Source organism: Homo sapiens, chromosome 2 (assembly GCF_000001405.40).
Source record: "Homo sapiens chromosome 2, GRCh38.p14 Primary Assembly".
In the NCBI taxonomy this organism is placed as follows: Eukaryota; Metazoa; Chordata; class Mammalia; order Primates; family Hominidae; genus Homo; species Homo sapiens.
In genome coordinates, this window is record NC_000002.12 from 75,110,609 (window position 1) to 75,122,870 (window position 12,262).

At 37.7% G+C, this 12,262-nt stretch overlaps 1 protein-coding gene across 2 annotated transcripts in view; it reads right to left on the minus strand.

The window, feature by feature from the left end:
* The window catches only part of TACR1 (tachykinin receptor 1), a 153,058-nt gene that overhangs the window by 64,146 nt on the left and 76,650 nt on the right, over window positions 1–12,262 (minus strand). For both annotated transcript variants that reach the window (NM_001058.4, NM_015727.3), the window contains exon 2: window positions 9,966–10,160. In NM_001058.4, the coding sequence (NP_001049.1) occupies window positions 9,966–10,160 (195 nt within the window). The remainder of the gene's footprint in view (window positions 1–9,965; window positions 10,161–12,262) is intronic.

Here is a 12,262-nt window from a genome sequence, read left to right on the forward strand (position 1 = left end):
ATAATATTATGATAAATAATATTATGATCATAATATATGATCGGTATTATTAATATTTTCACATTAATGTGCTTGTATAATGCCATTTTAACAGTTGTATAGTTTTTTGTATGAATGATCCATCATTTCTTTAATCAATCTTTTATGATTTGATATTTGTTTCTAATTTTACAGCTCTATAAACCATGCTGACAAAATCTTACATAATTGCTGTTAAGACTTTCTAAGAATGTAATTGCTGATTCAAATCAACTACACATTTGAAAACTTTGACAGATATTGTCAAACTATGCTCCTGAAAACAGCTCCCACCTTCCCCATAACCTCACTGATACTTAACATTTTCATTAAGTTTAACATGGGCCACTCAAATAAAGGAAAAATTGTATACATTATTTGGAATATAATTTTTCATATTCTTTTATGAGCTATAGTGTTTTGAGGGTTGCTTTACTCTTATTGATAAGTTGCAGTCCTCTATGTTAGTTTTTCTCATATATTATAATCTTTTTCTCAGTTTGTCACGTGCAGAAGTTCTTCATGGAGTTTCCTGATATATAGAATTTAACAAACTCATCTATAACTATATCTGTATGTGTGTATCTACTTATATATGCAAACCAGCAATCTTTCATTTTGGCTTCTACCTTGAGGGTTATGCATTGAAAGCCTCTACTCCATCCCAATTTATTTGGAATTTATATTGGTTTTAAGTTGTGAGAAAGGAATCCAGTTTTATGGTTAGTCCAGAGTTTCCCCAGAATATGTTTTATGGATAATACTTCTGTGTGATGTTTACAGGATTAATCAAAAGAAGGATTCCACAATCAAATAAGTTTGAGAAGCAGAAGGTTTAAGCAAAACCACTGGATTTCTTCACTGCAATACTTACTAGGATGGAGACTAGTCTTTGTAATAGAATTTGAAGTGGCAAAACATTAGACACAATGCAAATATATGTCAATATCATACTGGATAAGTAAATTATGGTTTCTCCATATAAAGAATACTATGCAGCTGTAAAGAAAAGATGTGAGAATGCTTGCAATACTGATGGGAAAGGATATCCAAGATTGTTAACAGAAAAAGTCAGAATAGGGTATACTGTATATTGTATTGTGCATTAAGAAAGGAGACAGTAAGAATATATGTTTACACTTTCTTAGATGGCATAAAGAAATGTTAGAAGGTTCATTAGAAACCAAGAATGGTGGTTGTCCATAAAGTGGTAGGGGTAGAAACAGGGCGAGTATGAGAGAGAGAGAGAGAAACCTTTTCCTAATTACTTTTTTACACTTTCTGATTTCTAAACCACACAAATATGTATAAATTTTTAAAAAAAATTTAAAAAGGAAACCCTCTCAAAGGCTCCAATATGCTATTATATACTGTGACTATCCAAGTTGTGGGCAGCGGTAGTATAGAGAGTAATCTACAAACTCATTCAAGTACAGAATCCTACAATTTTAGGTTATTCAGGTTTCCAAAAATAGTGATGGAATAATCCTTACAAATTTGACATGCTATCTTTAGCACATACTAAACACAAAATTTTATACGTTTGAGTTTTTGTGTGTGCATGTGTAATTTCTAGTCTGCTTTTATTAAATGATTCTACCCCTAGTACTGAGTATTTTGATATCTCGAATGGCAAGTCATTTATTATCATTCTCTTAAAAGTTATTTTGCTGATATAAAAATTAATTCTTGTTGTTTATTATTTTCTTGAACGAGTTTTATCCATTAACTCTTTCAGATGATTCACTTTATCAAACTGCCTAAACGTACTCTTAGGAATAGTTTGAGAAGAACTGATATCCTTAGGAATTATATAAAGATAGAAGGGAAACTGTTTTCTATATATCCTTAAACACTTTCTGTGTTTTGAATCATGTGGAATGTAGTTCTCAAATATTTTCTTATGCCGTCCAGTAAAGTCTAAATTAGCATGATATTTTTCATTTTGCTTACATAAGTTCTGGCTATTTCTTAATTATTCTAAGGGTTTTCACTTTTTTTTTGAAAAGGAAATCCATTTTTCATTTTATTTTGTCAAGGATTATTGCTGAATAATTATTGCTGAAATAAGCTACTTTTTTCTTCAACACTACATTTTAACAAATTTAATTTTGGCATTTCTTGAGACAAATATATGATGCTCCCCTTTAACAATTTAATTTGAAGAAATATAATAACAGATTTCCTGATAATTTATTTGCTAGTATTATTTGCTGGAAAAAGTCATGCTCAAAAACATAACATTACTGTTTCAATATAATTTTTATTTTTTTGGTGAACGTTTTAATTGGGATGTTTGCATCTATATTTGTAAATGGAGTTGGTCTGAAGGTTTGTTTTTGGAGTTGTCTTTGTTAGCTTTCTATATTTAGGTTTTACCAAATCTCCATAATAAATGAGCAAGATTTCCATATTGTTCTGTGCTCTTGAAGAGCTTATAAGAGTATTTGAAAGATTTTTCCCTGCACAGATTTTGATCCCAGTGCCTTTTGTAAATGTAATTTTTGAACAGTAGTTTCATTCCCCTTTACCTCCAAGCTGTATCAGTTTGATAATTTATGGTTTTGTGGAAAATCATCCATTTATTCTTATTGTGAGTTATGCTCTCTGGCCTCTGTGCTTTCTCTTTCTCCATCTGAGGACAGCTGCCTCCGGAAGTTGATGGCAGCACCCCAAAGGAGTCCTAAATTGGGTGGACCCATCTTTCTCAAGGCTTCAAGGCTCACACTTTCACCTCCTAATTAGGGGCTATTGGTATGTAGAGGCCATAAAGCACTTGGTGGCTGCCTCCTGTTTGGCGCTATCTGCACAATGTCTACCAGAAATGTAGTAAAATTTCTGGCATTTGTGTGGCAACCTTCCTAGTTTCTGCAGTAACGTTGGCTTTCCTCCTTTTTTCTTCTTCCTTTTTTTTTTTTTTTTTTTTTTTTACTTTGTTCACTCTGATTTCTGTCTGGGAGTCAAGGTTAAGGGCATGTGTTTATGCTAGCATCTTCCCCTGCAGTGTCAATGCACTTTTCCCTCTCCATTTAATTGCTTTTCATCAACCAAAGCGATAATACTAGGGGCTCTGGGCTGTATTTATAAGTGTAGTGGGTGTCAGGGGAAGAGAGTAATCACAACAGCTAGCATAAACAATCAATCCTGGAAACACAAATATGTTGACACCCCTTTGGCCAAGGCCTAGAGCAGCTTGCCAAAGGATCCACATTTTTTTTTAAATTTGTAAAATAATCAAGAAGACGGAAAATTTAAGAAGTAGTGCTGTAGGTATATTTTTAAATATTCCTCTCTTACTCCCTGTTAATGAGGTGATTTTCAATTTTTATTATTGTGAACGAAAGTAAAGAATACACATAGATATAAAAATTTCGGCTGATTTTTGATAATGAATCATAATATACAAAAGATGAAGTAAATAATGACGATGGCATATTTTTGTAGTCTGCTGTTACAGTTGGTACCTGTAGAGAATTATATTAGAGCTAACATATTCATATTCACTCACATTTCCACAAAATATCCAGTTAATTAAATGAACGATTCTGTTTTCTAACATAGCCTCCTCTCCCACTATTATTGGTAATATTTAGAATTCAGAATAGGAATGTCTTACTTCTTGCTAAAACTCTACCATAAAATTATGTACATAGAAATTTAATTATCAGAAAATGACATATGACCAATATTAATAAATGACTCAGGGAAGCAGAAATTCCCAGCTTGTCTAAATCTCATTTTTTTGGATGTCCTTTTCATTTTTCATCCTCATTACAGATTTTTTCTTGGCCTTGATTGTGGGTTCTCTGATGAAGAAATGTTGGCTCATTCATCTTCCTTGTCCTCAGGGGCATTGCCCTAGTACCTTCTGAGACCATTGCCACCCTACAGCCCACATAACAACTACAAGAATGGGCTTAGCTCTCATTAACTTTGAAAGCTACTGCATGCTCCTCACAGTTTTTATAGAAAAAAGGAAAGGGTCAGTGCATTTTGCAAAGTCAAATTTTTCTTCTTTATACATTCACCTTTCTTTCTCTGTGCTTTCTTCTTCAATGGGAAGAGTCACCTTTGATTACATGTAAAATCTTTATCACCTGTCAGTCATCTCCACCTTCCTAGAACTTCCTGTGTAGTGTCATAGTTTTGCCAGAGCAGCCACGCTAAGCTGCTGGGTTGCTAATTATTGCAGGACTTAATTACAAATTATGATAATATTATATTAATGATGAGCCTAACTCCCCATTTTCATGAATGTTATAATGTTAGCATAATTATCTATAACTGTGAATTGTAAACACAGACAGGGAATGGCAGATAAAACTGAGCCAGTTCCCCCAGGGATCTAGGAATATAGCTAGAAGCAGCTAACTTTGAAGCTGGTGGTTTATCTTACCAGTCAGTTAAGAGAAACCACTGAAGTAATAAATTTTCAAAGGAGGGGATTTGTTAACATACGTGTGTGTGTGTGTGTGTGTGTGTGTGTGTGTGTGTCTTCACATCATGTCATAGAAACAATTTTAATAACATAGAAATTGTCTATATGGTAAATGAAATAAGCAGATTATAAAATATATATATATGAATGACTATTAAATTATAAAAAGATGTTCGTCCCCACTCCTAAAAGGGAAATGAGCATTTTAACTATGAGATCCCATTCTCATTATTTTCCCCCATCAGATGGGTAAAAATCTAAAAGCTTGATGATATACTTTGCTGGTGAGGTTGTGGAGAAACAGGAACTCTCACACATTGCAGGTGAGAATGTAAATTAGTACAACCTTGTATGGAGGGCAAATATCAAAATTAAGATGATATAGTCTATTTTTGAGATTTTATGCTATAGGTATTCTTGCATGATATATATAAATGTTATGCATGGTGGCACTCTGTAATAGCAAACCGTTGAAGACAATCTAAAGTCCACCAATAAATGATTGGTTAAATAATAGCATACATTCAAAAAGCAGAATACTAAAAAAAGAATAGAGAAGAGGCCGGGCACGGTGGCTCACGCCTGTAATCCCAGCACTTTGGGAGGCCGAGGCGGGTGGATCACGAGGTCAGGAGATCGAGACCAGCCTGGCTAACACCGTGAAACCCCGTCTCTGCTAAAAATACAAAAAAATTAGCCGGGCATGGTGGCGGGTGCCTGTAGTCCCAGCTACTCTGGAGGCTGAGGCAGGAGAATGGCGTGAACCTGGGAGGCGGAGCTTGCAGTGAGCCGAGATCGCGCCACTGCACTCCAGCCTGGGCGACAGAGCGAGACTCCGTCTCAAAAAAAAAAAAAAAAAAAAAAGAGAAGCTCTTTATGAATAATATGGAAATATCTCTAAGACATACTGAGTTTAAAAAAACAAGGTGCATAACAGTGTGCATAATAGGCTATATTTTGTGTTATAAAGAGGGAAACAATCTATATTTGTGTTGACTTGTACTTATATAAGGCACTTTAAATTTTTATAAGACACCACATTTTTTTTCTTCTTCTTTGAGACAGGATTTCACTCTGTCACCCAGGCTGGAGTGCAGTGGAGTGACCTCAGCTCCTCTCAACCTCTGCCTCCCAGGCTCAAGTGATCCTCCCACCTCAGCCTCCCAAGTATCTGGGACCACAGGTCAGCTTGCCACCACGCAGAGCTAATTTATTTGTAGAGAGGGGGTTTCACCATGTTGCCCAGGCTGGTCTTGAACTCCTGAGCTTAAGCGATCTACCTGCCTGGGCCTCCCAAAAAATACTGGGATTACAGTCATGAGCCACTGCACTGGGCTCCACAATTTTTTTTGTTTGTTTTATCCGTTCTACTGATGATGGATATTTGAAACATCTCCAGTTTGGGGGGTATTAAGAGCAATGCTGATGGGAACATTATGTTTGATGTCATTGAGTGTATATGTGAATGGGTTTTTTTTAGGGTAATTACCTGCAAGTGGAATTTCTGAGTTATAGGGTATGCATAGCTTCTTCTTTTCTAGACAGTATAAAAGTATTTTCTGGGCTGGGCACGGTGGCTTATGCCTGCAATCCCAGCACTTTGGGAGGGCAAGGCCGGCGGATCACCTGAGGTCAGGAGTTCAAGACCAGTCTGGCCAACATGGTGAAACCCTGTCTCTACTAAAAATACAAAAAATTAGCTGGGCGTGGTGATGGGCGCCTGTAATCCCAGCTACTCTGGAAGCTGAGGCAGGATAATCACTTGAACCCAGGAGGCGGAGGTTGCACTGAGCTGAGATAGTGCCATTGCACTCCAGCCTGGGAAACAAGAGTGAAACTCCGTCTCAAAAAAAAAAAAGTATTTTCCAATGTAATTATCAATTTATACTTCTTCTAGCAGTTGACAAATGTTCTTATTGCTTAGTTTGAAACACTTAGTTTTGTCAGATTTCTTAATATTTTCTAGTTTGATGGCTGTGTAGTAAGATCTCATTATCACTTTAATTTGCATTTCACTGGTAACAAATGAAGTTGTGTGCCTCCTCATAATATTTATTGACTTTGTGGATTGTGTGTGTGTGTGTGTGTGTGTGTGTGTGTGTGAAGCCCATGTTCAAAACCTTTGCTCATTCTTTTATTGGATTTCCTGTCTTTAATAGTGCTTAATTTAATTGATGTTTTAGTAAACGTTAGTTTAACTGTATTTGCAAACGTTAGTAAAGAGTTTGAATGAATGATCATGGTTGAAGGTCCACCATACAGCCAGAAGGCAGGTGCAGCAACCTGAGATTTTTCACAAAACATTTTATGTAATTAGCTTACACAATTATTCATCAATTAAATTGGGTCTAAGCATCTTCCCATCACACTGTTTGCTGCCTGTCATCTTCCAGTGAAACCAGATTAATGAATGATGCTAACATTGGTAGTTAACATTCACTAGACCCTTACCCCTATCCAGGGCACTAGGCTGAGGACTTCATATAGGTTATTTTTACTTACATCTCTCAATGCTTCTTTGTGGAATGTACAGCTGCTCCTCGACTTACAATAGGGTTAGATCCAGATAAACCCATCATAAATTGAAAATATTTTAAGTTGAAAATGCACTTACCACACCTAACCTACCAAACATCCTAGTTTAGCCTGGTTTACCTTACATGTGCTCAGAACACCTACATTAGCCTACAATTGGGCAAAATCATATAACACAGATCCTATTTTATAATAAAGTGTTGACTATCTCATGTAATTTATTGAAAATTATACTGAAAATGAAAAACAGAATGGTCGTATGAATACTCAAATTACAGTTTATACTGAATGCATATCATTTTCCCACCATTGTAAAGTTGAAAAATCGCAAGTTGAATCTTTGGAAATGGGGGACTGTCTGTACTATTAGGCTCAGAGCCTTAAATTGCTTGACCATTATGACTCAGCTAGAGAGTGATGGGACTGGGAGCTGATCGCTCATCTAACTCCAAAACACACACTCTTCTAATTATTATACTGCCTCAAAACAAGTTTCCATCTGGTTTCAAATTTGGGATTGTTGTGTACTGTGAAAGTGGCAATCATTTCTTCTAAAAGAAGAGAATATAATTAAGTAGTCTGTTTAGACATGGTAAAATTGAAATTGTCTAGAAAAATAATATAATGTATTATGAAGGATACTGACAAAAAGAAAATAGGTTTGAATAAAGCTATGCTATGCACTTATGTTTCCATCACTGTCATTAAGTGAATGACAAATATACTATTTTGATTTACTATTGTATCAATAAACATGTTACACTTCATGAATAGATAACATTAGATGCTCTTAAGCCAAGCTTACTTTTTAGATTAAAATGATGAAATAAACAACAATGGCAAACATAACTGTACATCCAGTAGCAGCTACCCTAAATTCTCAAAGCAAGGAAATAAGACAATCCAACACATCATATTGAGTCTCAAAGAGATTTTCTAGTCATTCATAAGCATAAAACACCAAAATGTTCAAAATTAAGACTCCCCCAAAATATTATTCTTTTTTGGAAAAGACCCCAGAGATCTGTGGGAAAATTAATCTTTATTTCCAAGTTAAACTTTGAATTTGTTGTAAGATTAAAGAACTATGAGTATTTTGAAACAAAAGTTGTAGAAAGTGATCAGATTTTGAAAAGACCATGAAAACTAAGAGCTGAGCTACAGCCCGTGGAAACAATGGGAGATATTTCTGAAACAGTTTATATAACGAGCTTTAATTCGGAGATTTTTTTTTTCCCTTTTGAGGAAACCTTCTGGCTTGAACATGTTCACAGGTTCTGTATGGCTTGTAAAGCTGTGTTCTTTCTCCCGCTGGGACCTTGCTCAGGCTTGTAGTTTCATCTGAAAGAATAATTTTCGATATTTCCTAGGCTGAGCATTAATCCCTCCATTGCTTGATCGATTAAATCCCACTGTCTGTGTCTGGAAGGCGATGTCTGAGCTTTATGTATTGCTTTCTGGCAAGCTACATTTCCATGCTCATGGAACAGATGCAGCAGGGTAACTGTGTGCAACAGGCTTTCAGCCCTCAAAGCTTGGGGGAAATGACAGGTATGGTGTCCCATTTTAACTTAAGTTTAAAGGTCTCATAATTATACTGCTATCTGATGAATTTGGTTCATACCTTTTGTATGGCATTTAGTAGCTTACAAGGTGAGAATACATTATCTCGTTTGATCTTCACAAGAATTGTTTATAGGAAACAGAGCTCTATTATCTCTCATTTTAATAACGAGGAGAGGCTGTGACCCTTGCCCAGGGTCATATGGCCAGTAACTGGCAATCTTGTAATTAAAATTCAGATCTTTTGATTCTAACACCAGTGTTCTTTTATGATTCACATAAAAAACCCGAGATTGGAGAATTATAGAGGGCTTTCAAAAAGATCCACATTATCCATGTGCTCTGAGTCCAGAAAACTAACTGTAATATAAATGTCACATTGTGGCTCACTTGAGCAGAATGAAACAAAGATATGCCATTTCAATGTTGTTTCAAGGATAAGAAGTCTTGGAGAAAATTGCTGGGATACTTCGAGAAACCCTAAATGTGATCAGGCAGGCCCCTAGAAGATAAGTATGTCTGCCCTGTCAGGGACCTGTAACTCATAAGGTCTCAATGCCTGGCCTGACCTTCCCATGTGTTTCACCTGCACATATTCTATTTCTCCAGCTGTAAAATCCTGGGTGTAGGTGTATTGTTTTGGTCTTCCGCAAAGGGGAATCCTTATCTCAAGATTTTCAAGTGCAAGTACCTTATTCGGGAGAAGAAACACCAGTAGGAAAAGGGAGCAGTGATATAGGGAAGATGCAGTGGCCAATAAAGAGTACATTACCCAGGCAGCTACCCGTGGAGATTAATCCCACAAGGAAAGCTCGGACGTGATGTAAAACACAAACCACAGAGACACACTCCCCTGAGGGGTGAGAGATGGGTGTTCAGATGCCAGCTCCCCTTAGGCATTGTTCTTTTTTTTTGGCAGTGCAAAGTGAAAGCAAGTTTATGAAGAAGGTAAAGGTATAAAAGAATGGCTACTCCATAGACAGAGCAGCCCCTCAATCATTGTTGAGAGCTGCTGGGAGTGGGAGGTAATTCCCCACCTTCCTGCAACCTGTGCAGGAGAGAAGAGCGGCATTCTGTAGCTTAGGAAAAAGTTCCTAGGCAAAGAAAGGCAGATCCCGGCAGGGTAATGTCTCTGGTAAAAGGCCCGAGGGATATGGCTCTGCTATAACAGGATCTAGATCTTACACTTCAAAAATTATCTTTCAATGCTCAGAATAGTATTTGGGATACTATAGTCCCCTGACAACTGTGGACATATCAACCTGATATGAGGGTATATGTGAGAAATGCTTGCAGATACACATTAAATCTGTACCAACAAAAGAATATGGAAAGAAAGAAAGAGCAAGAAGGGGCCAGGAAGGCAGCCTGCACCATCGTTTCTTTGGCATGGGGAGTCATCTCTACTCACACTTTCTCATAAATCTTGTTCGGATGCTCTGGCCATTCGATCATGCACACGACTCTGCTGGGCATGGTCTCTGTGGTTGAGTAGTAGCCCTGGGGGAAGGCCAGCAGGAGAGCCAGGACCCAGATGACACAGATGACCACTTTGGTGGCTGTGGCTGACAGCCGGGGCTGGAGGGGATGTATGATGGCCATGTACCTGGAACAGAGAAGAAAGAACAAAGTTCTGATCTGGTCACCAAAATCTGTATCAGAGATTCCATATTTTTCCTGCCAATAAGAAAATTCATAGAAACCCTTTGATTCCTGATGATTTGTACAATTATTTTCCAATTCCTTTTCCATATTCTACCCTTAAGCTTTGTGATATGCCATACAATGCCAACATGCGTAAGAAAAGCCAGCTAGATTTTTCAGTATTTCAGAACCTATCTAGCAGCATTCAAGGAGAGACATTTTCATCATTGAAATGCTTGTGCTGGGGACAGGACAGCCAAGTACAGGTAAGTGAAATTAGAAAAATAAGAACAATGTTGTAAATTTATTCAATGTAAAGACTGACTTTCATTCTTTCTAGATTAAGGGATAATGGTGATCAGAATAGTACTTTTTTTCAGTCCTTATGTGATATTATAAAAGATTAGCAGTCCTACCTCGGTCCATACAATTTGAGGGGAAGTAAACATGTCTCTGTGACAAAGCATTGGCCTAAAGTCAGCAAAAAACAACAGCTCCTGGAGAAATCTTCATCAATTCTTTGAGCATCTAGGAGTCAGTGTATGGCTAACTATACATACTTCGTGAAGAGAAAGACGGTCTCCACCTGCTGAGGCAGACAGACTAGAGTGCACAAAGGACCAGTATGGATGACACTTCATTGCAGGAAGAGGGGAGCACAGCAAATGATGACTTCATGTCTGGAGCCATTCCTCCATCGCTTCATTCCTGGGCTCTGGCACTAAACAGTGTCATCTGAATGAATGTGTCCACATGTTTGAGTTTGTGCACAGCCCCTGAGATGTTGCAGAGATTTGAAGGATAAGTATTTCATATCAGCCTTTCATATCAGTGATAAGCACATCAATTCTGCCTCTTTCATTTTAAAAGACATCTCTCTCTGCATATTTTTCTTGCAAAGTTTATAGCTCTATACCTTAAAATAAGCATTTTTTAAAAGAGAAGGAATGATATCTTATAGGGCCTTTGGCATTTAAATATTATCTGACAAAACCTCAGAATCACACATTGATTCTCTGACAGTCAGGTGTCTCTGACGTCCATGCGACAGAATGGTCAACGGAGACTTCAAAAATCTGCAAAGAGTAGCAGAGCTGTCAGCTGGCTCCACATCGTTCCACATAATTCTTTTACTGTATTCTTTGGACTCCTAGGATCTCTAGACCAGAATTAGGACCAGGGTTACAAGTAAAGCAATTTTATTCAGTATGCGCTCAATAAATTCCCACTGGACACCTGCCGCACATAGAGCACAGCGTTTCCTTCTGGGCTATAAGCTTGTAATTTCTCCAGGGAGAAAAGGTGCATCAATAAGCAGCTCAAAACACAGCAGTAGGATAAGTGACCTCAAGTGGTAATTGGATCAATACCTTAGAGTCTTAGGGGAGCTGCGGAGACACTCAAGCCCTGGAATGGCAGGTGGTCTACTGGAGGGGCTTCGACAGGTGTGCTGGATTTGGGGTGAGTCTGCTGAGCATCCTGCCCCAACGGGAGGAAGTGTTTGGAGCTTTCTTGTTTCTCCATGTTAGGATTAGGCTTTGTTTGCATGAAGGCTTCCTTGAGCATCCTCTTATCACTGTAAACTTTAGAAACTTTTCTCTGCATTTTTGTGCTAGGGACCTGGGATTTCCCTCTCTGGTCTGTAAGGGCCACTGAAGGTGTTTAGTGTATAGAGTATGTCTACTAGGAGGACACTTCATGCCAACCTTTATATCAGAAGTCATGACAACTCCCAGGAAGGAAACTCCTAGAAACTCTTTCTTCTGCCTCTTTTAGAAAGTGGGTAGGTGGTCTTAAAGTGAGGAGAGAGTGGAATTATAGGAACAGACTTGGAAAAGATATGATGTTGGGGGTGTGTAGTAATCTATAAATCTCTGGGCAAGTTTCCCTGGTTCTGTTGATACTATAAAGCCTATCACTCAAATGCTGTCTGCAGGTCATCAAAAGGGCAAAAACAACTCTCAATATGTTACAAATCAAACATTGTCTGTTTTCTTTAGGTTACCCCAAAATGGCCACGACTACTGCCAAGGCAGGTCCAGGACACCATAGACTAGATGACCT